This window comes from Homo sapiens, chromosome 3 (genome assembly GCF_000001405.40).
Source record: "Homo sapiens chromosome 3, GRCh38.p14 Primary Assembly".
In the NCBI taxonomy this organism is placed as follows: domain Eukaryota; kingdom Metazoa; phylum Chordata; class Mammalia; order Primates; family Hominidae; genus Homo; species Homo sapiens.
Window position 1 is genome coordinate 69301845 of NC_000003.12, and position 27759 is coordinate 69329603.

The window sequence follows — 27759 nt, forward strand, 5'->3', positions numbered from 1 at the left end:
TACTGTTAATTCTTTCCATGAGCATTTGTTTGCATTTTATCCTCTATTCAAATTAAGGCATCAAATTGTACAGAATTCAATTATTTTTAAGTCTGTAGAAAACATTATTGCCACGTAAAATGTAATAGCAAATGTTTGTCACATTTCAAAGAATGAGAATCTTAAGAATCTGATGAGTGAGAAACAGTCTTATGTATTAAAATATATTACCCATGTTTTTCAGCTTTAAATTGATTTCTAAGAGGCTTTGAGGAATAAAGGAAGGCAACTCTATCCTTCATCTTCAAAGAAAACAGCTCTACGGTATCTATGGTAACTTGGTCCTCAGACCAAGACAGTAGAGAATCTCCTTCACATGATAATGTTTTGATAGGTCTCTTCTCTTTTTATTTGCTATCTCTAATCACCAGAAATGTAAAAAATAGCAAAGAAAACACACAAAAACCCAAAAATAACAGCAAAAAAAGAGGGATGCTAACTGGGTCTGTGGATACATACCTCACAGCAAAGTGCAAAATGGTTGGGCCTGGTTTCTTGGGCAAATCGTGGTCAAGAACTCGGTGATCTAACTGCAGCCAGTTCTGCTGACCTCTGTGAGAGCAAAGCAAAGAAAAAGGATTCAACAGAAAGTCAGAAAAGTTCAACAACGTACAGTGTTGGCAAAGCTGTGGCGAAATAGTTGCTCTCATACACCGATGGTAGGAGCACAACCTGTTACAACTGGTAATGAGACCAACTCAGCAATTTCTTTCAAAACTATGAAAGCACTTGCTTCTGAACCAGCATTTCCATTTCCAGGAGTACATCAAGGTAAACTTGCACATGTGAGAAATAATTTGTATATGAAATCACTCACTGTAGCAACATTTGAAATAGCAAAAGGGGTGGAAATAACTTCGATGTCCAAGAGGATATTGTTTAAAAAAATTATTTAAAACTATAGAGTGGGCAGGCACAGTGGCTCATGCCTGTAATCCCAGCACTTTGGGAGGCCGAGGCGGGCAGATCACCTGAGGTCAGGAGTTTGAGACCAGCCTGGCTAACATGGTAAAACCCTGTCTCTACTAAAATAAAAAAAAATTAGCCAGGCATGGTGGCACGTGCCTGTAATCCCAGCTACCTGGGAGGCTGAGGCAGGAGAATCGCTTGAACCCGGGAGGCGGAGGTTGCAGTGAGCCGAGATTGCACCATTGCACTCCAGCCTGGGCAACATCCCCTGTTAGAGTGAAACTCTGTCTAAAAAATAAACAAACAAAACCCCCCAAAACAAACAAACAAAAAAAACTATAGAGTGAAATACAATGCAGCCATAAAATAGGCTGAAGAACACGGGTGTGGCGGCAGACACATGTAGTCCCAGTTATTCGGGAAACTGACGCAGGATGATCGCTCGAGCCCAGGTGTTTGAGGCTGCAGTGTGCTATGATCACGGCTGTGAACAGCCACTGTACTCCAGCCTGGGCAACATAACCAGACCCCATCTTAAAAAAAAAAAAAAGCCAGGGAGCCTCTTTATAAACTTATTTTGAACAATTTCCAAGAGACGATATTAAATGAAAAAGCAAGATGCATAACAGCAAGTATATGGCGATTTTAAAAATTAAACAAAGAACAAACATACATATGTGCATGTATATATTACAAATATCTGAGAGAAAAAACAAAAAACTGATAACACTAGTTGACTTTTGAGGTAAAAAACTAGGCCATATGTTAATATTAAATTTTTATGAAATATGAAATATTTTAGATAATCAAGAAGGAGAAAACTTCTGGTTCAATGAAATAAAACACACAGGCTGGGTGTGGTGGCTCACATCTAGCACTTGTAATCCTAGCACTTGGGAGGCCAAGGCAGGCAGATTGCTTGAGCCCAGGAATTTGAGACTAGCCTGGGCAACATGGTGAAACCCGATTTCTACAAAGAATACAGAAAAAAATTAGCCTAGTGTGGTGGTGCATGCCTGTTGTCCCAGCTACTATGGAGGCTGAAGTGGGAGGATCACTTGGGCCCAGGGAAGTCAAGGCTGCAGTGAGCCGTGATCATGCCACTGCATTCCAGCCTAGGCAACAGAATGAGACCCTGTCTCAAAACAAAAGCAAAAACAAAAACAAAAAACCAGACACATAACAATACCACAGCTTTTAAAAAAAGTACAGGGTCGGTGCTAGGCACAGTGGCTCATGCCTCTAATCCCAGCACTTTAGGAGGCTGAGTTGGGAGGATTGGCTAAAGTGGGAGGATTGCTTGAGCCCAGGAGTTTGAGGCTGCAGTGAGCTATGATTGTGCTACTGCACCCTAGTCTGGACAACAGAGGGATAACTTGTCTCAAAAAAAAAAAAAAAAAAGGCCGGGCACAGTGGCTCATGCCTGTAATCCCAGCACTTTGGCACTTTGGGAGGCCGAGGTGGGCAGATCCCTTGAGGTCAGGAGTTTAAGATCAGCCTGGCCAACATGGTGAAACCCTGTCTCTACTAAACATACAAAAATTCACTGGGCATGGTGGCGGGTGCCTCTAATCCCAGCTACTTGGGAGGCTGAGGCAGGAGAATCACTTGAAGCCAGAAGGCGGAGGTTGCAGTGAGCCGAGGTCATGCCACTACACTCCAGCTTGCACGACAGAGCAAGATTCTATCTCAAAAAAAAAAAAAAAAAAAAAACAGTACAGGGCTGAATACTCTCTGAGTGCCACTTCTGTATATATATTATGGGCTTACTGAGATTTAAGCACGTACTTGTTTATTTTATTTACTCAAGAGCCTCACCAAGTTCATAAACAGTTCTCTCTAGATTTTGACCACTGAGGGATCAAAAGGATTGATGACACTGGGGCTCAGAACTGTTTACGTGCCTTTTCCGAGCTTGTCCAACTAGTCCATCCATTTTAGGCTGTAAATTCCCAGAGGGCATAGACCCTCTTTTACTTGCTTACATAAAATTCAATCTAAGAACATGCTGATGGTGGTGGGATAGCGTGTCAAAATGTAATAAAATATATAATGGGCCAGAAGACATTTTCAAACCTATTTTGGTCCTTGAGTAAAAAATTAAAAAACAAAATCAGAAAATTCAAAGCTGTATTCATTATAAGTAGACAGGAAAAATGAGCATAAATAATAATATGAGTAGTAGTAATAATAACAATAGCTAGTCTCTATCGAGTAATGACTCTGTGCCAACCAAGCTGGAACTCTTTATACATTAAAGCTATATTTTACAATAAGCCAGTGAGGAAAGTGCTAGAGCTGGGATTTGAATCCAGGGCTTCCTTTCTTCTTCCCTCCACCCACCACCCTACCCAGTGGACTTGTATATAAAAGTACCCGGGACTTTCAGTACTGGAGAAAATGAGACTAGAGGGTTGAATCAGCTTTTATAATGACTTCTGACTCAGTCTCTGATACTCAGCAGGTTAAATGCCGGAAAGAGTGTGTCTTTGTTTCCATAGTTACAAGACAAGGCTTCTGATACCTGTTTCCAGCTTTCCTTGCAAGAATATTATAAAGATAAATAAGCTGATTAAGTAACACAAGGGAAGGTCCTTAGAACTACTGCTTTTGTGTGTAAAACAAAATAAGATAGGAGACTGACGTTAAGAGAGTCTTACACTCTATTTCATCAAGTTTAGGATGCCACTGATATAAAGACACATCCCAATTTCACAGACGTTTAAATGTGTGTCTTAAAATACATAACATATTTGATAGTATCAGATCTCAAAAGTTTTCTTAGGAAAGATGCATCATTTTAAAAGCAAAATAGGCTAGACATGGTGGCTCACACCTGTAATCTCAGCATTTCAGGAGGTTGAGGCAGGAGGATCACTGGAGCCCAGGAGTTCAAGGCTACAGTGAGCTATGATCATGCCACTGCACTCCAGCCTGGGAAACAGAGAGAGACCCTGTCTCTGAAAATAAATTGAAAGCATAATGTATATTTGTATGAACTTGCATGGAATGGTGTCTATGAATGAATGAAGCAAGTTGTACAATAGCATATACAGCATAAACCAATTATGTTAACCACAGATGCACATTCAAAACACTATTAAATATTGATGAACATTTTTAGATATATTTCTGGAGAGTCACACAGCAGCTTGCTAGTACTGGTTACCTCTGTGGAAGAAACTACAGTTGCAGTGGGAAAGTAATCAAAAGGGACTGGACTCAACCATGACATTAAAGAAGATATTCATGCATATATTATAAGAAATAGTTTTTTAAAAGGATAAATTACAAATTAGATTTTAAAAAATCCACCCACAATCTCATCAATAGGAAAAAGTCTAGAAGAATTTTTTAAAAAATGCCCATAATTCTACCACTGAAATATAAAGGTTACTTATTGCTTATAACTTGCTTTTGTCAAATTTTCCCATCAGCAAATATAATAGATCTAACCAATATCTTAAAAAGACAATCATATCTACCCCTCTCAGGAGTGCAGACCAACCACAAAGCAAGTTTTATTTTTGGCTAGAATTGCATCAACAGAAGGCCCATTGTCACAGTCCCATTGGAAGGGACAGTGATCAAAAGTCACAGTTGTGTTGTAAAGTCTATCTGTTATTTCTTGGTAAACAAAGCTTATTTAGCAAAGCCTTTCAAAACATGAGAAGGCAAAACAAAAAGTGAAATGGGTGAAGAGATGGAACCACTACGGTGACCTGAAGGACTGGTGCCTCAGGAGGGCCGTGACTGCCCTCTAGGGGTGAAAGACTAACTTTGCACACAGAGCTGCGCAAGGCCCTAACAAGCGTAATCTCAGAAATGCTATCCCTCTCCCAGTAACGTGACCTTGAATCTGTGGTTGTTGGTCATCATCACTGCTTTTATTGCGTAATTGCCATCTATTTTTCCGTTTCTCCTCTTGGCCTGTGGATGAGTTGTAGACAGTAGCTACTTTCATTGACAAAATGTTCCTTTCAGCTTTACCAAAGACAAAAGACGCATGTGGCATCTAGGCTGGAAAATAAACTCAGACGGCATCCTGGGAGGGCCCTCACTCAGTGGTTTTACGGGGGCGAAGGGAGGCAGGAGGAAAGTGCTGAAAGAAAATACTTTCCAAAAATATTTACCAAAGAAAAAGAACTAGGCTTGTGACCAAGACATTCCAAGGAGACACCCTTAGACATAAGCAATATTCCAGGCCCGCTCCCCAGAAAGGTAGAAATGGCCAATTTCCACCCCCTCAACAGCCCCGCTCATACTTCTTCTGAAAATAAACACGACTAGAGCCAGGAGACACCTCCCCAAACTGGTCATAATTCAAAAAGAGACTCTGCCGTCACTTGCCGGGGAGTGCACAGAGGACATTGTGGAGCCGGGGTTCTTGGAAAGACCATGACTATAGTTACCTCCTTTGGTTGAACCAAAGGAGGTAACTGGGAAAAAGGCTGTGTGAACCATTCTTCTCCCAGCGTAGTTTTGAGAAAGAAATCTCAGGGCAGACAACAAGAAGGGTGGCCCAAATAACTGAAGGAAGTCATTCCCATTATTCCTTTTCTTTTCCTTTTTGGACAGTGTCTCGCTTTGTCACCCAGGCTGGAGTGGCACAATCTCGGTTCACTGCAACCTCCACCTCCTGGGTTTAAGTGATCCTCATGCCTCAGGTGCCTGAGTAGCTGGGATTACAGGCGCCCACCACCACGCCCAGCTAATTTTTGTATTTTTAGTAAGACGGGGTTTTGCCGTGTTGCCCAGGCTGGTCACAAACTCCTGACCTCAGGTGATCCACCCTCCTCAGCCTCCAAAGTGTTGAGATTACAGGCGTGAGCCACCACACCCGGCCTACTATTTCTTTTCTTTCCGAAGAGAAGGTCTTACAGTCTGAACCCCTTACTTACGCACTGTCTGGTTTATATTCAACTGAGCTTGGAGCTTTTCCTGAAGCCTCCCATGTGGCCAGGACCCTCTTTTCCAGTCTGCCACAAACCTTGCAGTCTGAGGGACCTCTGACACTGCAAGTCAAAGCCGCATTCCTCCTCCCTATAACATCCTTCCATGGACTGGGTGTGCCTCCTCCATCTGTGTGACTAACAAGGCTCACCTATGATCTTGTCCCCACGATCAGGCCAACGTCTTCACCCTTGGGCAAATGTACCTTGTTCGTTGCCATGTTCATGCATTTGCCCACAAAATAACTCTTGCCTAGGATGTCACCTCTCATCTCCCCTCCCATCTATTTAAAGTCTACCTTACCTGCAAGATCCAATTTTAGTTACTCGTCTGTGTGACGCCTGCTCCAGTCCTCCTTCAGTTTCCTTCTTAACACTCCCTTACTGCAGTACATTGGGATGACAGCTCCCTTTTATTGTGGGCCGGTGCTATATGCTCTGCCTACCTTACCTGATTTAATAGTATTGAATACTAGTACCCTATTACAGGTGCCTTATGTAGTACATACTATATAAGGCACTGTTATTATGTCCAGCGTACAGATGAGAAAACTTGAGTGTCAGAGATGTTAAGTAACTGTTCTAAGGTCACACAGCTAGCTATCAAGATTCTCTGATACCTGCTCCTACCTCCCTCTCAACCCTCCTCCTGTACCACTTTCCCTCTTAATCTCTGTACTCTCATCACACTGGCTTTTTTTTTTTTTGTTTGGGACAGGATCTCACTCTGTCACTTGGGCTGGAGTGCAGTGGTGAGATCATGGCTCACTGCAACCTCCACTTTCTGGGCTCATGCAATCCTCCCACCTAAGCCTCCCGAGGAGCTGGGACTACAGGTGTGCACCATCATGCCCCCTTAATGTTTTTGCATTTTTAGTAGAGATGGGGTTTCACCATGTTGCCCAGGCTGGTCTGGAATTCCTAGGCTCAAGTGATCTGACTGCCTCAGCCTCCCAAAGTGCTGGGATTAGAGGTGTGAGCCACTGTGCCCGGCCTTGTTTTTTTTCTCGCAAAAAACAAATCACAAAAGTCATGCTTAGCCCCACCTCAGGACTTTTGCACTGGTTTTTGTTTGTAATGTCTCCCCAAATTTTTGCAGAACTGGCTCTTGCTTTTCATTACATGTCACCTCCTAGATCCTGTCCTAGCCCACCCTGTCTAAAACTGAACCCAAGTTTTCTTGGTCATGGCCTTTTATGTTCTTCAATGCACTTATAATTGCTGATATTCCTTTGATTTATCTGTTTGTTTACTTGTTATGCTAGACTATAGCATTGCAATATGAGCTCCATAAAAGCAGGGGCCTTGTCTGTGTTACTCCTAGCTGAATCCTCGTGATATAGAACAACACCTGGCATTGAGTGGGCATTCAAAAAATATTTTATTTTCTATTTTTAGAGATGGGTTCTTGCTCTATTGCCTAGGCTGGTGTGCAGTGGCATGATCATAAACTCACTGTAGCCTTGAACTCCTAGGCTCATGCAATCCTCCCACCTCAGCCTCAGCCTCCTGAGTGGCTAGGACTGGAGTTGCACATCACCACACCTGGCTGATTTTTAATTTTTTTTTTTTTTTTCGTAGAGATGGGGTCTCACTATGTTGCCTAGGCTGGTCTTGAACTCCTGGCCTCATGCAATACTCCCTCCCTTGGTCTCCAAAAGTGTTAGGATCACAGGTGTGAGCCACTCTTAATGTAAATATATATATATACTTGAGACAAGGTCTCACTCTGTCGCCCAGGCTGGATGGCAGTAGTGCCATCATCATAGCTCACGGCAGCCTCAACCTCCTGGGCTCAAGTTGTCCTCCCACCTCAGCCTCCCGAGTAGCTGGGACTACAGATGTGTCACCATACCTGGCTGATTTTTTTTTTTTTTTTTTTTGTAGATATGGGGTCTCCCTATGTTACCTAGGTGGCTCTGAAACTCCTGTACTCAAGGGATCTGCCCATCTCGGCCCTCCAAAGTGCGGGGATTACAAGTGTGAACTATCACACCCGGCCAATATTTTTTCAATGAATAAATTACTCCAATATTCATGTTGTTAACCCCTATTCTATGTGACCTCTGCCTAAATTATAGTGCTTATAGCAGTTACAGTTTATACCATATAACCTAGCCATTGTATATTTATGGCTTTATGTCTTATACTGTTTGCTATGATTTCATCCACATTTGGATTCAGCCTATGTGTGTGCGTGTTCAATCACTGATTCGCAGGAGCTGGTGCTGGCTATGCATGTCGGCATTTCCCATTTCATCCAGTAGAGGACAGGTCATACAGAGCCTCTCAAATGGTAGCTGTTGAGTGATTCAGAGTGAGGTGAGAGATGTCTAGTGTACTTTCTTCTGCCTTGTTGAGCCCTCTTTGGGAAACATCCTCAGTCCAGAATCAAGTTTTCAGGTTTTTCTATTCCTCCTGATAATTCAGCTGCTTGGTTTTTGCCCAGTGCAAGTCCTGAGCCTGCTGGCATATTCTGGAGGTCCTAGGCTCACAGCCCACCCAGGCTGGGAATAATCAGAAGCCACAAGGTGTTAAAAGCAAATTAACTCCTTCTTGAGATGATTTTCCACCTGATTAAACTAAAGAACTGAAAAATATTTAAATTGGCAGCATTATGAAAAGAATGCTGGATGGTTGGCCAACATATTTTATGTCTGGAACACATCTTCTTGCATTTTAACATTTAAGGAGCTCTTTGGAAATTATCTGCAGAAAGTGGAAGGATTCCTCTGATAATGTATCGGGCTGCATAAAATGTAGGCAAATTGGGCTGCCATAAAAAAGACAGACAGATACACACAGACAAACACACACACACACACACACACACACACAGAGAGAGAGAGAGAGAGAGAGAGAGAGAGAAAAGAGCTAGTAAATCCAAACACATTTGCTTAGAGTGTTAAATTCTCATGAATTTATTTTTATTTACCTGCCTTGTTTTGGGGAGCATATATATTGTTGACAAATATATACAACATTCAACAACTTAGCATAAAAGGCAAAAGTGAAAAAAAAAAGAAAAAGATAGTTGAGAAGGCAACATAAAATGGACCTAAGTGGTAGTTTAAAAGTTCATTCCATATTAAACTATATACATGTTTTTTAGTGGGCCACAAATTTGCCTTTAAGCTCTCTTGCCACCAACACCAACACATCCACTCAGTTTCAAGATGTGAGTAAATATCTAATATTTCTACCATATAAGCTAAATTAGCAAGCACAATCACATTCAAAGACATGAGAAGATACACTGTAATCGGGAATAACAAACTCATTACTACACATTTCTAAAACATTTAGAACAATATTTTGAGTTCCTAAAATGGTCAGTATCCCTTTTCTTCTCCCTTTGCCATAATCCTAGGAGAAAAATCGCATATTAAAAAACCTTTAGCTAAGCAGGACATGTTCTGAATGCTGGAGGACTTATTTCCTTTTTTGTTAATTATGGAAGACAGCAAGTAGGTAGCCCAGGCAAAAGGTAAAGAAACTAAAACTATTAAAGGACTTACGTGTCATCTATGAATGTTATTCCAAAATACTCCTTTTCTTTCAGGTTGAAATGTGAAGCCACTAGGTCCAGCAACTCTCTTGCTAGAAGTTTGGGCTGTCAAAATAAAAATCTGGTTAGAAGCAATTTGGTTGCCTCTCTCTTACTGCTACCACCTTCCTCTGCCCTAAATAATTTAAAGTAGCTTTTGTTTATTTGTTTGTTTCTTTATTACTTGCCCTTGTTTGTGGATTAGGTTGATGTACTATAGACAATTCTTTAAGAATTGTGGGAAGGAGAAGAGATGGGAATAGGAATATCAATGAGACTATCATTTTCATGTATTTGCAATTCACTCAAGTACCTTACATTTTCCCTCTAAGGTGCACTTACTAAGATGTTTTGGAAAAAATACTCTTTTATATGTAACGTGGTGCTAATGCCCAAGACAAGGAATATTAAACACCTTGCTGCTTGGTTATCTGTGATATATAAAAGATTGCAGGAAACATTTTGCTTGTTGGTGGCCAGTTGAAGAAACCCAAGACTCAAAGCTGTGGGGCTACTGATGAAAATATTAATAATAATAATAATAATAGTTACTATTTATTATGCTGAACTTATATCCCATTGTCATTTAATCCTTATAATGAGCTATGAGGCAGGGCTTTTTATTTCCATTTTATAAATGAGTCAACCAAGGCCCAGAGTAGTTAAGCACCTTGCTTGATGTTACATTGTTAGTAAGGGCAGGGATTTGAACCTAGTCTGTCTCCTTCTAAAGCCTAAGCTTTTCCTTCCTGAGATAGAGAAATTGTACCCATTCCACACATCATCATCAACAGTAATGAGCACCTAGTTAGAAGAAGGATGTAATCTATAAGCTTTTGGGAAGCTCTGGATCTGCTGAGAAGAAGCATGGGCTTGGAACCAGCCAGAATGCCTGGAGTGATAATTGATGCTGGATTTGGAGGGACTGGGGAAGAAAAGGGGAATCCTTGCAGGAGGGCACTCTGGATGGATTCTTTCTGAACTTTGAGCAAAACAGCTTAGGGTATATTACGATGGCTGTTGGGGATAAAAATGGACATGATTTAAAGAAAAAAAGAAAAGAAACAGGCAGACATCTAGACTAAAGGTCTACTTGGGCAAAGCTACTGTTGACTGTACTATTTCACTCTAATTGAAGCCTAAGCATAGTGGGCTAGGGACAGGCCTCAGAAGAGAAAAGAATTTAGGTTTGGTTAGAGGAGAAAATTCTAGGCTAGCTGTAGGTGTGGCCCGTCCGCAGGGACTTTCACAATTTTTAAAGATTCTTGGTCCAGAGTGTTGGGTGAATAGAAAGAGAAGCATCAACAATAAAAATATCATCGCTTGGCTGGGCGCAGAGGCTCACGCCTGTAATCCCAGCATTTTGGGAGGCTGAGGAGGGTGGATCACTTGAGGTCAGGAGTTCGAGGCCAGCCTGGCCAACATGGTGAAACCCTGTCTCTACTAAAAATACAAAAATTACCCCGGCAAGGTGGTGGTGGCCTGTACTCAAGAGGTTGAGTCAGGAGAATCACTTGAACCCGGGAGGCAGAGGTTGCAGTGAGCTGAGATTATGCTACTGCATTCCAGCCTGGGCAACAGAGCAAGACTCCGTCTGAAAAAAAAAAATATATCTATCTATATCATCACTTATATAGTGCCATATATTTTACAAAGAGATTTCACTCACATATATAATCTAGCTTGATTTTTAACCATAATTCTTCTGAGAAGCCTAGGCAGTTCACAGCTAATGAAACTGGGTATTTCACTTGCACAATGCCATGTAGCTGGACAGTGGCAGACAGATTCTCACCTCACAGTAATCCTTTCAGGAAGTACTACGGTTCCCAATTTACCGGCAAGAGACTCAGAGAAGTAAAGTCAATTTCCCAGGGTCACAGAGCTATTAAGTGTCAAGCTGAGACTGGAACTCAAGTGTCTCTGAATCCATGTCACCAGGCTATAATTACTCTAACATATGGACCAAGTTTTCTGACTTCGAAGATGTTTTTTTCCCCTTGATCAATTCTGAGTCATTGGCTTTGAGGCAAAGATAACAGAGAAGCCTGAATACAGACTATGAGGCTCAGAGAGGGAACCAGGATGAGCTGTCCCCGTGAGGGTAAAACCTACCTGGGCAAGACTTATCTGGGCAACACACATGTGGGCCACACCTACCTGAACCAGCAGCTCCAGTCTCCTATCATCCAGGAGGTGCACCTGGCAGTGCCTGCCTTCTGTCATCTGCAGGAACAAGACAGCAAGAGTGGTGTCAGGGCCACGGCTGGCAAGCAAACCTTTGGACTCGTTGTATCATTTATTTTATATGAGATGGGCTCAGCCTAAAAATGGCTTTAGTTGAGTTAATAAACAGGCTTGGCCAAAAACAGATTTATTATATGGGAGTAACTGGATTTAAAAGAAGAACAAAGAGCACAGGCTAGTCAATATATTGCAAAAATAATGTCCATACAGTCCACCAATTTCAAACAATGCACACAAAATTATTCTATGAAAAGTAGGTCTCCATCCCAAAGGAAACTACTATATTTTTCCTGGAATTAATGTTTTATTTAAAAAAAAAGGCCGGGCGCGGTGGCTCACGCCTGTAATCCCAGCACTTTGGGAGGCCGAGGCGGGCGGATCACGAGGTCAGGAGATCGAGACCATCCTGGCTAACACGGTGAAACCCCGTCTCTACTAAAAATACAAAAAATTAGCCGGGCGTGGTAGCGGGCGCCTGTAGTCCCAGCTACTCGGGAGGCTGAGGCAGGAGAATGGCGTGAACCCGGGAGGCGGAGCTTGCAGTGAGCCGAGATCGCGCCACTGCACTCCAGCCTGGGCGACAGAGCGAGACTCCGTCTCAAAAAAAAAAAAAAAAAAAAAAAAAAAAAAAAAAAGCCTCTCCATCCCAGAGGAAACTACTATATTTTTCCTGGAATTAATGTTTTATTAAAAAAAAAAAAAAAGCCAGCCAGGCACAGTGGCTCACTCCTGTAATCCTAGCACTTTGGGAGGCAGAGGCAGGCAGATCACTTGAGGCCAGGAGTTTGAGACCAGCCTGGACAACATAGTGAAACCCCGTCTCTACTAAAACTACAAAAAATAGCCAGGCATGTGGTGCACACTTGTAATCCCAGCTATTCAGGAGGCTAAGGCATGAGAATTTGCTTGAACCTGGGCAGTGGTGTTTGCAGTGAGTTGAGATCACACCACTACACTACAGTTTGAGTGACACAGCGAGACTCTGTCTCAAAAAAAAAAAAAAGCCTTTATTCAGCTGGGTACAGTGGCTCACGCCTGTAATCCCAACACTTTGGGGGGGCCAATCAGGGTAGATCACTTGAGGCCAGGAGTTTGAGACCAGCCTGGTCAACATGGTGAAACCCCCTTTCTACAAAAAATACAAAAATTAGCCTGGCATGGTGGTATGTGCCTGTAGTTCCAGCTACTCTGGAGGCTGAGTTGGGAGAAACCCTTTGGCCTGGGAGGTTGAGGTTGCAGTAAGCTGAGATTGTACCACTGCACTCCAGCCTGGGTGACACAGAGAGACACTTTTCCAAAAAAAAGAAAAAAAAAGTATTTATTCATTGGTGTGTTTAACGTCTCTCTGGGCATGGTGGCATGCACCTATAGTCCCAGCTACTCAAGAGGCTGAGGTGGGAGGATCAGTTGAGGCCAGGAGTTCAAGACGGTAGTGAGCCAGGATCATGCCTGTGAATAGCCACTGCACCCAAGCCTGTGGGCAACATAGACCTCATCTCTTAAAATAAAAATGAAAAGTCTTCATTTTGGAAACTCTCCCCCTACTTTTAGTCCACCAACATAGTTTACTATCACCACCATAGTTAAGAACAGTTAAGATATATAGTTAAGAACAGTTTGATACATACATTTTCAATTATATTTAGTTTTTTATTATTCAGAATTGCAATACTAAAAAAACTTTGTAAAATACTTAAACAATGCATAGAATGCCAAGATACTCCTTGATTAACTCATGTTCCAAACCATTTTATCTGCAGAAATCACCATCCTATTAGTTTAAGAATCCTCATAGACCACTTTTATATGTATTTTCAGATATATATTTACATATTAAAATATTTCATATTATTTTACTTTAGTACATATTATATTGAATGTATTGTTTTGCAAATGAAGTACTCTTAATATTTCTGTGTGAGTGTAACCATCCAGAAATTTGATATATATGTGTGTATATGTGTTTATCCGTGTATGTGTGTGTATACATATTTTTTGTTGTTGTTTCTTTCTTTTTCAATTTCAGTAGGACTATGCTTCACTTGCTGTTTTGCCTTTTGCTTTTTAAATTCAATGATTCTTGTTGATCTTTCCAATGTCAGCACATATAGATGGACCTCATTCTTTTTAAAGACTCTATAGTATCAATTATTGTGTGGATACACGATAATTGAATAAGAGAAACAGGTTGTTTCCAATCTTTTGCTATCACAAGCAATGTCACCATGAACTTTGCACATCTAGCTTTGTCCATGGATGTGGAATTGCTAGGTCACTTTTGAAAAGCAGGGGCAACATTTTGGCTCTAAGCCGTTGTACAAAACTATAAGTTTTAGGAACTCAGATACATATAAACCTAATTGAAAAAGAAAATAGCCTCCATTACTGAGTACCAACAACCTATTCAGCATTGCATGAAGTGTTTTATATACATTATTTCTGAGCGGCACAGTTACCTTCTGGGATTAGTATTACTATCCCCATTTAACAGCTAAATTGAGGCTCAGACTGGGATAAGTAACCTGTTTTCAATGTGAAAAATACTAATTATTGAATTTATAGTTTTGATCGAACTCTGCTTTAAGAGTCTGAAAACTAGCTCAGCTGGTTAGATCATGGTATTATGAAGATGTGGCCCACAGGAACCACTGAGGTAGTGCTAAGAGGTAAGTGAGTAAGCTTTACTTTGTCTCATGGCCTAAGCCTATGTCCTTAATTCGGCAAAGCCAAGGTCAAATATACACCTTGGGTGGCAAGGGGAAACAGAGCAAGTCTTTATTAGCTCTAGGCACTGAGCTGGGCTTTTTACATGTATTATCTCAGTAAAGCTCTGCAAAAGTTTACAACATGGCAACATCCCCATTTTACAGACAGGAAATTGAGGTACAGAGTTTATGGTAATTTACTCAAAGTTACATAGGCAAGAAAACAGCCAAGTCAAGATTTGAATTAATGTCTAACTAAAAAAAAAAAAAAGTCATCTTTTTTTTCTGCTTTTCTATACCAGAGGAGGAAATAATTAAGAGAGAAATAAAATGTGTCAGTATTTCTATACCAGAGGAGGATATAATTAAGAGAGAAATAAATAAATGTGTCAGTTTAAATCACTTTACTTCTTTTGTAAAACAACCTTCAAAAGCTAATCCTAGGTGTAGGCCCTACAGAAAGATATAAAAAAATAATGCTCAAAAGATCACACAGTATTAATCCATTAAGGAATATGTCATAATTGAGAAAATATTTAAAGCTACTCTGTTGTCCCATAATCCAAATAAGTTTATTTCCTGACTTTAAAAAATCAGGCTGGGTGTGTTGGCTCACACCTGTAATCTCAGCACTTTGAGAGGCCAAGGCTGGTGGATGACCTGAGGTCAGGAGTTCAAGGCCAGCCTGGCCAACATGGTGAAACGCTGTCTCTACTAAAAGTACAAAAAATTAGCCAGGCGTGGTGGCAGTTGCCTGTAATCCCAGCTACTTGGGAGGCTGAGGTGAGATTGCATAACTGCACTCCAGCCTGGGCAACAAGAGCGAAACTCCGCCTCAAAAAAAAAATCATCTTTTTTTGCCTTTCCATTTTGCTTTGGAACTCCCTCATATTAGTCAATATTCCTTTTAGCAACAGATAATTTTATTCTAGACTATTCAACTGTAGATATCTTTTTGATGTGCCTAACCATTTCATGACAAACTTAGGCATTGGTGGCTAGGTTTTACTTGGTCCTGCCCCTTTGTCCTCAGTTGATTGGGCAAGGGATAGATACTTGACTCAAGCTGGGCCAATCAGAACCTCAGTCCAGGGAATCTGGAATTGGGTCTGAGAGGATAAAAACTTGGTTGTTTATGGGCAGCCATTTTGTGTGTGTGGAGAAAAGGAAAGCCACCTGCAGAAAGAATGAGGGAGACAAGTAGCTAGAAGGAGGCAAAAGACCTGGGTGCAGTGGCTAGCGCCTGTAATCCCAGCACTTTGGGAGGCCGAGGCAGGAGGATCACTTGAGGTCAGAAGTTCTAAACCAGCCTGGCCAACATGGTAATGGTAAAAGCTTGTCTCTACTAAAAAAATACAAAAATTAGCTGGGTGTGGTGGTGTGCATCTGTAATCCCAGCTACTTGGGAGGCTGAGGCAGGAGAATTGCTTGAACCCAGGAGGCGGAGATTGCAGTGAGCCAAGATCGTGCCACTGCACTCCAGCCTAGGTGACAGAGCAAGACACCAACTCAAAAAAAAAAAAAAAAAAAAAAAAGGAGGCAAGAGAAATCATGCGGCCTAAGAAGACAAGCTTAACAGATTTGTTGTCAGGGTTCCTAATGTTTTCCAGTCACTTATAGTCCTTTTCACTGATCCGGGTGAATTTTTGTCCTTGAGTTTCATGAAACACCCTGTATTCCTTTAACAAATCCATTTTTTTCCCTCTCTTAAGCTAAGAGGGAGGATTCTGCTTTATTTATTTATTTTTGAGATAGTCTCACTCTGTCACCCAGGCTGGAATGCAGAGGCACAAAGGTGGCTCACTGTAGCTTCGACCTCCTGGGCTCAAGTGATCCTCCTGCCTCCACCTCCTGAGTAGCTGGGACTATGGGTACATGCCATCATGCCTGGCTAATTTTTATATATTTTTTTGCAGAGACAGGATCTTACTATCTTGCGTATGCTGGTACGGATCTCCTGGGCTCAAGCAACCTGCCCGCCTTGGACTTCCAAAGTATTGGGATTATAGATGTGAGCGATAGTACCCAGCCGGATTCTGCTTCTTGCAACTAAAAGCATCTTTATAAGACTCCACAAATTTCCATGCCAAAACCAAAGCAAAAGAGTTCCAAAGCATAGACTCTCCAAATGATGTCATTAATACGAGAAAGTCATCTACTCATAATCACTGAGGCGCCCATCGATGACAATACAACAACCAAGAGAGGCTGACATCTGGGGAGGGGGCATGAACAAACACCTGAGGGTTTGGTGGAACACCACACAGGGCAGGCTGGAGAGGGTAGCACAGATGAACTAGAGAGAAAAACACCAGGGTTACATGTCCGCGCAGCACACATGGTGTTCAGCATGTGGAAAGATGGCTCTGCTGATAGGTCAGGGGGCTGATTTGATGCTCGCTAGCAACAGAAAGGCCTGCCCTTGTCACTTATTTAAATTGGAGGTGGAAAAGTGATGGATGTATTTTGTTCACCACAACAGTGCTTATGAATAAATATTAGTTGATAATATTAGAAATCAGGTAATGCCACATAATTAAAAAATCCAGATTGACAGCTTCTTTTGACAAATGGTAAGACCTGGAAATTCTGGGCTTGATTTCTTCCATGGCAATATTTGGCAAGGGCAGGGCAGAGTAGTTCTCTATTCCGATGAGCTTTGTGGTCTCTGGTTCACCCAAATGTATGTATGACCTGCCAGGCTCCTGGGAGGTGTGATGAGTTCTGTCATCTGAGTGAGCAAACCCTGATTGAAGTGGTGCCAGCGAAGAGACACAACCAAAACAAACACAAACCCTGCTGTGGACCGGGCAAAGTGCTTGACATTTAACACTCATTAATGTATAGAATTTCAACCTCTACACAAACCTATCAAGGGGGCATCCTCATTTTAACCACCAGGAAATTAAGGCCTGACAAGTGATGTAACTTGCACAGGAGTTCTAATGCAGTTATACTCTGGATCGAAAGCATAGTTTATCTCTTACTAGCTGTGCTACCTTAGAGAAATTACTTGACCTTTCTGAGCCTTATAAGAAATGTCCTGACAGCATTTAATCTGAAACTCAGAATAAAATCAGCCACTTCTGAGGCCCACAATTATTGTAGTCCCCATTTGTTTGAAAACTGACAGCTACGCTTTTCTGTAATCTATATATTTTCCTATTTAAAAAAACACATTTTTAATGGGAGGAATATTACTGACCCATTTTAAAGAAGATAAATAACAGGTAAAGTTAACAAGTCACTTAACAAGCATATGGCAGAAAAATTCTCCAGAGCTGCTGTAGGGGAAATAAAGAAAGAGAAGGAACCACTGGTTTCTGAGTGTCTTCTGTGTGCCTGGCACCCAGCGAGGCACTTTAATTATATCAATAATATCACTCCTAGGCACTTTCTATATTCCAGGTATTGCACTAAGCACTTTACATAATCAATTCTCATGATGCTTACATGAGGTGGGTACTCTTAGCACTCCAACTGATGTTAGAGAGATGATAAATAACAAAATTCATAAGTGGCAGAACCAGATCCAAATTCAAAGCCCAAAGCACTTAACCACTTAGCAATACAGATGGTACTACACACACTGTAAAGTGACAAATGGTGAGAAAACTTCCCACGCAGCCCATTTTCGATGGATCAGATGAGTGGGTAGAAAAACAAAAACAAAGAATCATGAAGCAGGCATGAAAACTCATTTCACTTCCAGAAAAACATAATTTGAATAGAAGTAGTTAGAACTGCGGAATTTATAAATAGAAAGCATCTTAGACGGTATCTATTAACCACTGCTTATTTGAAACATGGGGAAACTAAGGAATGGATGTGCCCAAAGCCACACAGCTAGTTAATGCCAGACCTGGGCTTAAAAGTCAGGACTCTGACTCCCAGGCTACAGCGTAAGTGACCTGAACAAGGTTACTCATGTAATAAATACCATATTATTCAAATGAACTTTTTCCCCAACGTGTCAATTAAAAAATTTTTTTTAAAAATTATAACAACAAACAGAAAAAAATAAAACCCCAACTGGGAATTTTAAATTTACCTTAAAACCTGACCTGGGCCAGGTGTGTTGGCTCACTCTTGTAATCTCAACACCTTGGGAGGCTGAGGCAGGAGCATTGTTTGAGCCCAGGAGTTTGAGACCCACCTGGGCGACATAGTGAGAAACCATCTCTACAAAAAATTAAGAAATTAGCCGGGCATTGTGGTGTGTGCCTGTAGTCCCAGCTACTCGGGAAGCTGAGGCAGGAGGATCGCTGGAGCCCAGCAGCAGTTCAAGACCAGCCTGGGCAATACAGCAAGACCCTGTCTCTAAAAGCAAAAACCAAAAAACAAAAAAACAGGAGTTATATTTGAAAAGAGCTGTATGTGGAGCACAATGATTATATTTACAAATATAGGATCATTTCTGAACCCCCAGAGACCATCAGAATAGTTTCAGAATTGACCCCTACCTAGTGGCAGCTAATAGCAGCAATGCTTCAGATGAAATAAAAAACATATTTAAAAAACGATCTCTTTGGAAAGCTTCTCTTCACATCTACTCTGACTTGATCCCCTTCCCGCTACCTTCTCCCCTCATGGAACCCCAGGAATTCGAAGGCAAAAATTACATGTGTTGGATTAAAACTCCCACCTCGGTCTCCAGCTGGCCTGTTTGCTCCCCAGCTGGTAAGAGTCAGTCCTCAGAGTGCAAGTGCTGATTACTGGTGGAAAGACTTTGTCCATCTGGTCAGTGGTTAAATGAGGAAGATCAGAAGGGAAGTAAGAATTGGCTATAAGCCAGACCTCTGGTTTCAAAGAGGGCCCTGATGCGGCAGCCCATAGTGGGGTTCAAGTCTTTATGAGAACACACTCCCCCACCCTGGCCCCCAATCCCACTGCCTGGTTTAGGAGATGAGAGAGGAGAGTGGGTTGGTAAGAAACCAAAAGGCAATTCAAGACAGGGCAGTATGGAACCACTCATAACAACGGGGTCGTCTTACAAGGCAACAGGAAATAGCTACAAAAAAAGACCAAAATCGTAGCCTACTTCGGCTTTGCTTTAGTTGTTCTTTGGAACAGAAACATATGAAATTGGTAAGGAAGCAGCAAGCCTTTTTAAAAATTTTTCTTCTCTCTCTCTCCCTTATTCCTTTTGACCTTTTCGAAAGCCTAGTGAGAAAGGGCCTGCTTCATAAAAATGCCTCCTCAGGATTTTCTGTGCGGTCACCTTCTAGAGTGAAATCTGCCATCTGGAAGGGTGAAAACCCAGCTATCTAGGCAGGTTCCATAATTCCAATTGAGCCCTACAGTGGTCCAAAACTGTCTAAGAGCTTTATTGCTTTGTTCACCACTGTCTCCGCAGGGCCTAGAACAGTGCCTGGCACACGGTGAGACCGTGGTATATAAATATCTGCTGAGTTAAGAAATGTCTTAACTGTTCAGAACCCAGACACAGCTAACACTGAAATACATTCACAAATGATTTTTTTTTTTTCTACACAGGGTCTCACTCTGTCACCCAGGCTGGAGTACAGTGGCACAACCATGACTCACTGCAGTCTTGACTTCCCCAACTTGAGTGATTCTTCCACGTCAGCCTCCCGAATAGCTGGGACTATAGGCAAGTGCCACCACACCTGGCTAATTTTTTGTACAGATGGAGATCTCACTATGTTGCCCAGGCTTGTCTTCAACCCCCAGGCTCAAGTAGTCCTCCTGCCTTGGCTTCCCAAAGTGCTGGGATTACAGCTGTGAGCCATTGCGTCTGGCTCACAAATGATTTAAACAGACAGAGCACAATCCAAAGCGAGGATTTTCCAGGCAACTCCCAAGCCCTGGCCCAGAAAAACTCACACATAAAAAACACTCTTTCCACCCAGAGAACAAGGTGTGTTATTAAACTCCTCATCAGATGAGATATTCTGGAGGAACTGGAGAGCGGGAGAAGGATGTATCTAGGACGTTCTTACTTTGGGATCTATTGAGTGGATGGAGTTTTATATTTCACCCTAATGATGTCAACCCTAGCTGAACAGGGCCCCTTTATATCATCTCTGGGTGTTGACTGAATATGAGCTATTGACACTCCCGTTCAGAGAATGGCCTAGACTGACACAGATGTCTCCAAATGGAGTCAGCTGTGATTTTCCCTCAAGTTCTTTCAAGACAGTGCCTACCCTCCCAATGTGCAATCACTGGAGACTTCTTTTTTAAGTGTCAATAAATGATTCTCCTAGCTTCTAGCAAACACTTACTACATGTCACACGAGTATGGAGTGCTTCACATGTGTAGTGACTTCTTTCATGTTGCTAACAACCCTACCAGGGAGAGTCATTGTTTAGATTTTTCTCTCTCTCTTTTTTTTTTTTTTTTTTTTGAGACAGGGTCTTGCTCTGTTGCCCAGGCTGGAGTACAGTGGCATGAACATGACTCACTGCAGCCTCGACCTGCTGGGCTCAAGCAGTCCTCCCACCTCAGCCTCCTGAATAGCTGGGACCACAGGCATGTGCCACCACACCTGGCTAACTTTTTCTATTTTTTTGTAGAGATGGGGTCTTGCTGTATCGCCCAGGCTGGTCTCGAACTCCTGGACTCAAGCAATTTTTTCCCACGTTGGCCTCTTGAAGTGATGGGGTTATGGGCATGAGATTTCTGTTTAGATTTCATAGATGACCAAACTGAAGTGCACAGAGGTTAAGTGGTGCCTGGTCATACAGTGATAAAGTTGGGTAGAATCTCAGGTTCCATCAGTCGTACCAAAGTAGGACTCCTGTACATCTCTTGCAGGTTCACTGGAAGTGGAGAAGGAAAAAGACAATGAGGGAGGGAGAAAAGCAGGCAGTGTAAAAGAAGCAAAGGAGGAAAGGAAAATGAAATGAGGGAAGAGGGGAGGAATGACAAAGAAGAGGAGAATTCAGTTTGCCAAAGCTGAAATTGAGTAATTGAGTAACATGCCTTAAGAGAAATGCTAACAAAGATAACAGCTGCTGACTGTGTGCCTGATAACTATCCCAAATCCTTTCATTTATATACAAAGGGCCTTTTATGGCCGGGCGTGGTGGCTCATGCCTGTAATCCCAGCACTTTGGGAGGCTGAGGTGGGCAGATCACCTGAGGTCAGGAATTTGAGACCAGCCTGGCCAATATGGTGAAACCCCCTCTCTACTAAAAATACAAAAAAATTAGCTCGGCATGGTAGCGCATGCTGTAATCCCAGCTACTTGGGAGGCTGAGGCAGAATTGCTTGAACCCAGTGGGTGGAGGTTGCAGTGAGCTGAGGTCGCACCACTGCACTCCAGCCTGGGCGACACAGCGAGACTCTGTCTCAAAAAAACAAAACAAAAACCCAACTCTCTCTCTCTCTCTCTGTGTATATATATATATATATATATATATATATATATATATATATATATGCGTTTTAAATGAATTTTCATAAGAACTCTGTAAGGTGGATTCCATTACTAGCTTCATTTTATGGATGAGAAAATTGAGGCTCAGAAAAGGTACATGGCTGACCCACCTTACAAGGTCATAGGGCCAGGAAGAGGCAGAGTAGGATGTAAACCTAGGTGTTCTGACTCCAGAATCCATGCTCTTAAGGGCTATATTACTTCAGTACAAAGTATTTCCTATCTCATACATCCTATATATTAAATCACATGTAGTTTAGGCACTTAATGTATCACCTTGATTGCGAAGCCTAACACTGCTCTGAAAAGCTTGATCCAGACTCACCAAACCAGAGTTGGCTGGTTCAGGCCACTGTCTCGAAGCAAGGCCAGAAGAAGAGAAAGGTTTTACAATCACCATCCCTTGGCTACTTCCTGGCCCCACACTGATGAAATATGGGCAGCTGCTAAAAATGGTGTCTATGTTTGCTATTGATCTTCCTTGGGCAGTCAGGATGGAATTAATCTCCACCTGTTGGGATGCTTCCATGGCTGTGTCATGCATATGTGAACACTCAGGGTACAGGATGATATTTGTCAGTTATGTGGCCTCCTGGACCTGACTCCATATTACTCTGGGCTTAAGATGTAGCCTAGCACACATGTAATTAATTCAGTGTGGAAAAGCTCTGGATTATGTGTTCATTCATTCACTTAACCAATATGTGCTGAGCACTCTCTAAGTGCAAGCACTGTTCTTGGCACTATTATATACCAGCCAATAAGACTGAAAGGGCATTATCTCTGGAGCTTGTCCTACAGTTCTCAACTTCATTGGTATTTGCAGCCAGATAACTCATTATTGCGGAGCATAGTCCTGGGCACTATAGGGTGCTAAACAGCATCCCTGACCTCTACCCACTAGATGTCAGTAGATCCTCCCCCATATGTCTCCAGACCTTGCCAAATGTCCCCTGGGACGCAAAATCACCTCTTTTGAGAACAACTGCTTTAGAGGTGAGGAGAAAAAAAGAAACTAGTAACAATTAAACAAATATGATATTTTCAGATAATAAGGGCTCTGAAGTAGATAAACTGGCAATGGAATTGAGTTCTAAGCATGTGCAAAACTCACTTCTCTTTACCCAGGAAGCACGAGAAATGAGGAAATTGATGGAGAAGGCCGGATGTGGTGGTTCCCTCCTGTAACCCTAATGTTTTGGAAGGCTGAGGCGGGGGGGGATTGCTTGAGCCCAGGAGTCTGAGATCAGCCTGAGCAACAGGGTAAGACCCTGTCTCTACAAAAAATTAGCCAGGCGTGTACCTGTAGTCCTATGTACTTGAGAGGCTGAGGCAGGAAGATCACTTGAGCCCAGGTGTTTCGAGTTGCAGTGAGCCATAACTGTGCCACTGTACTCCAGCCTGGGCAACAGTGAGATACTGTCTAAAAAAAAAAAAAGAAAGAAAGAAAGAAAGAAAGAAAGAAAGAAAGAAAGAAAAGAAATTAATTGATGGAGAGAACTTATATTGGACCACTGCTCTTGGTCAAGTGGCTCCCAGTAGAGACTGGAGGGCTGATGGTGTTTTCTAAACATTTAACTGCATGCTCCTTTCTGCCTTACAGAGGTTGGGAGAAAGTAAACAAGAAAGGCTGGCCAGTCAATGGACGGCCATTGCTGCAGCTCTAATGCCAACCTGGCAGGCAATTCCAGCCAGCTTCGGGCAGACATTCCCTGGGGAGGGCATTCTCATAAATGACAATCCCTTATCAGATTCTAGCCTGATCTGATAAGTCTGGTGAAAAGAAAAGCCAGGTTTTAAAGGAAGAAAGAAAAATAAAGAAGCAAAGCAACTTATTAAGCCTGGAGCTGAAGGCCATCAGGAGACACCAGCCTAGTGTCAATGAGAAGCACACAGGATTTAGAGTCACGAGGTTTGAGTTTGTGTCCCAGCCCTGCTATTTACCTAAGAGAATATCATGGTATCTCTCTAAATCTCAGTTTCTGCCCCTATGAAATGGAAAGGATAAAAAATCAGTCTCATTTGGGTTTGCCTCTTGTATTAAGGCAGGTTGAACTGATTATAAACTCTACCTTAAAGCACAGATGATAATTGTATCATCAGTAATACACCATTTATTGAGTATAGGTTAGGTGTTAGAGTCTGTGCTAAGTGCTTGACATGTATTACCAGTTTATCCTTACCCTAGTGCCGTGAGTACTATTATTAGTGGAAATAATGTCTAAGCTATTGAGTACTATCCTGTTCTCCAGAAATGGTTATTTTAATTTGCTTAAGTGCGTACTTCTCTCAAGAAAAAAGTTTTCCTAGATTATTATTATTTGAGACAAGGTCTCTCTCTCTATCACCCAGGCTGGAGTGGACCATAGCTCACTGTAGCTTCAGCCTCCTGGGCTCACGCAATCCTCCCACCACAGCCTCCCAAGTAAATGGAACTACAGGTGCACACCATCATGCCTGGCTAATCAATTTTTTTTTTTTTTTTTTGTAGAGATAAGGTCTCACTATGTTGCCTAGGCTAGTCTTGAACTCCTGGGCTCAAGTGATCCTCCCGCCTCGGCCTCCCATAGTGCTGGGATTATAGGCATAAGCCACCATGCCCAGCCTCTTCTACATTATTAAGACACTAAGCTGTCATGTTTAAGTTGACAATCAACCCGCCAGTTAAACCCTGGAGAGACCCAAAAACCTAATAGCTGGGGATTCATTCAATCTGATTTTTTCTAGTGATAATCAACAGACTAACTTACAACCACCATTTTTAGCTGTCCATATGTCCAAATCTGGGGAAGGAAGGTGGTAAACTCTAACACCTTATCTGATTGTGACCAGATCATTCCTTTGTTCTCATCTCCATAAAATGCAAGTTAATATGTGTTCATGGCTTTGCCTATGCCATCTGCTTTTACATACATTTTCCCCATTGAGCTCTCAAACCTACCTGTGAAGCAGATAGTTTCCATAATCTGAGATTCCACGAAGTTGAGAATGACTTGTCTGAGGTCCCACAGTTTATAAGGGGCTAGGCCAAGCTCAAAAAGGTGCTCAACAAACAACATGAGAGGGAAAAATCAGGGTATATATCTACATGGAAGAAACTTCAGTGAAAAGCAAGATTCTCTTTATATTCTGACTGTGCTTTTCCAATTAGAAACTCATGTTAGGCACCAAGAAGAGACTGTCAAATGTTTATTTTCAGAAAAACATGCAGGATATTTCTGCTGTTCCTCTCCAGAAAGAAACAGCCTCGTTGCTTAAAACCAGTTGTTAGGCTGTATTTTTAGACGTCATGGTACAGTATCAATGAGTCAAAAATAAAAAAACAAAAAAATGGGAGGGCACAGATACTGTAAACAGGAAAAGTCACAAAAATGGAACTAAGAAAAGCTGAGAGCACAGCCTGTGGGTTGGGGGTGGGGGGATTTTCATTTTCATCTGCAGTTCAGGTTAACCAGAAATGAAAGTTCTCCAGTTGCCTTGTAGAAAATGGAAATTTTGGCTTCAGTGAGTATGCAAGCAGCAGACACCCTGTGGTTTGGAAACTTTTTGCTTTGCCAACTGTCAGTTTTCTCTTTTCCCGTGAAAAACAACCTGTAGGAAGGAGTAAAAAAGTACTGCGTCTTTCAAAGACTTAAAAGTCTCAAGTGTAACTTGTGTGAAGAGATATTGAAAATAAACTGCAGTACTTGTAATTTAAAGATATTCTAGGTATTGCCTATTCACGGTATAATACATTTGGAAATCCTGGGCTCAATGGAAGCCACTCACAAAGCAAACAAATCACATACATCGTCCTGAGAACCTAAGAATTAGCAAAAATTAATTAGAAAATCAGAATCAACTTTACATTAATTATGGAGTACATGCTTACTCTCAGGGTTTTCATGTTTCAATTTTTCGTCAACCCTGTTAGAATGTCTCTGATTTATGCTTTTCCAAGTCTCTTTATTTTTTGTGACTCATGTATAGGTAGAGGCTGAAATAAGTCCTCCTTAGGGAGTTTATAATTAAAACAAACGGATTGTATTAGGTCCAGAGTCCTAGCCTATCTCTGATTTGTTGGTAGAAACATCATATTTGGGTAAGGGTTTTAGAAAAGCATCACCAAATTGTAAAAACAGAAAAGTCAAACTCATTTGGGACATATAGAAAAATTCTTAATCTTAACATCCAGGACTTGTTTCACTGTCACAGAAGAAATATTTCCTCTCAACTTACAGGCTTATATTATTTAGTCATGAAGCTTCCTTGTCACCTAATGCAGGCTGTGTTTTTAAATGGGATTCAGACTCTTTTTGAAGCCAATGTGGGATTCAACGATTAAAACAAAACAACAAAACTGGAAGCCACAGGTCAGGAGAACATAGAAATATGAAAAAGGAGTTAAGAAAAAAAAGATTTATTGGCAAGCACCAGGGAACATAACTGGGAGGAAAGATCTTTTGAGAGACAGAATGGTGGTGGAGAGCTGGCTCTTGGCCACTCACGAAAGCCCACTGTCCCATTTTCAAGCTGGTTGTTAGGTACAACTAATATGAACTTACAATGAAATAAATCGCATTAAAAGCAAAGGTAATAAAACTCTTCACTTTCCAATTGTTTTACTACATTTACTATGACCTTTGCTCTTGTGGTTATTGAATCTGCATGGAAGTAACACCATTTAATGATATGCTACTGCTCGTCTCTTCCCAGATCAGTAAGTCAGTCAAGGTGAGAGTATTTACACCACAGAAAATGGCAAGTGTTGCAAATCAGTGTCCCTTTTTCCCCAGAGCTGGTTGTGTCAGAGGTGTTTGCACTGGAGTGACTCCATCTTGAATAGGACCTGGGTAAAATAAGGCTGAGACCTACTGGGCTGCATTCACAGGAGGTCAGGCATTCTTAGTCACAGGATGAGATAGGAGGTCAGCAGGGCTGGTATCACAAGATACAGGTCATAAAGACTCAGCTGATAAAACAGGACACAGCAAAGAAGCCAGCCAAAACCCACCAAAACCAAGATGGTGATGAAAAAAGACCTCTGGTAGTCCTCACTGCTCATTATACACTAATTATAATGCAATTGCATGCTTTAAGACACTCTCACCAGCACCATGACAGTTTACAAATGCCATGGCAACATCCAGAAGTTACCCTATATTGTCTAAAAAGGGAAGGAACCCTCACTTCTGGGAACTGCCTGCCTGTTTCCTGGAAAATTCATGAATAACCCACCCCTTGTTTAGCATATGATCAAGAAATAATCATAAAAATAGCCATCTAGCAGCTCTCGGTGCTGCTCTGCCTATGGAGTGGCCATTCTTTTGTTTCTTTACTTCTCTAATAAACTTGCTTTCACTTTACTCTATGGACTCATCCTAAATTCTTTCCTGCTCGAGATCTAAGAACTCTTGGGCTCTGGATCAGGACCACTTTCCAGTAACAGCTGAGAAACATTTACCAGCATACCAGTGGAGAAAGTGATGGTCAGAACACTCAGGATGTGGAGGCCGTTGAGAGACCACGTGATAAAGATGAACAAACAGAGGCTTCAGGTTTACAGAGAATTCTGTTTGAAGCCCAGCTTACTTAACTTTAGTAGGACTTACTATTTTAAATCTCTAAAATAGATTTACTAATACCTTCCAGGGTTGTTGTGCATAGAACTTGGCGAACAGAGGCCAACATAAAGGTGACTATTATAATTTATTTCTTTATTTTTATTTTTATGTTTTGAGACAGAGTCTCATTCCGTCACCCAGGCTGGAGTGCAGTAGCGCAATCTCTGCTCACTGCAACTTCTCCCTCCCGGGTTCAAGCAATTCTCCTACCTCAGCCTCCCAAGTAGCTGGGACTACAGGCATGCACCACCATGCCCAGCTAATTTTTTTTTTTTTTTTTTTTTTTTTTTTTGAGATGGAGTCTCACACTGTTACCTGGGCTGGAGTGCAATGGTGTGATCTTGGCTCAC

The 27759-nt window shown here is 41.8% G+C and overlaps 1 protein-coding gene across 13 annotated transcripts in view, besides 1 other annotated feature; it reads right to left on the bottom strand.

Annotated features, from left to right (window-relative positions):
- Positions 1-27759, bottom strand: part of FRMD4B (FERM domain containing 4B) — a 373805-nt gene that overhangs the window by 133063 nt on the left and 212983 nt on the right. For 10 of the 13 annotated variants that reach the window (XM_017005993.2, XM_047447767.1, XM_047447771.1 and 7 more), the window contains 3 exons: positions 11608-11673; positions 9419-9513; positions 499-591 (listed from right to left, as the gene is read on the bottom strand). In XM_017005993.2, the coding sequence (XP_016861482.1) occupies positions 499-591; positions 9419-9513; positions 11608-11673 (254 nt within the window). Of the gene's footprint in view, positions 1-498; positions 592-9418; positions 9514-11607; positions 11674-19044; positions 19103-24747; positions 26681-27759 lie in introns of those variants that run through there. The other 3 variants (XM_047447768.1, XM_017005994.2, XM_017005992.2) reach the window with 3 other exon arrangements.
- Positions 19064-19113: an enhancer, noted in NCBI's record as "active region_20054". NCBI's record gives its function as "activates an Ori minimal core promoter by ATAC-STARR-seq in GM12878 lymphoblastoid cells {active_cell/tissue: GM12878}" and the evidence as "EXISTENCE:reporter gene assay evidence [ECO:0000049][PMID:35858748]".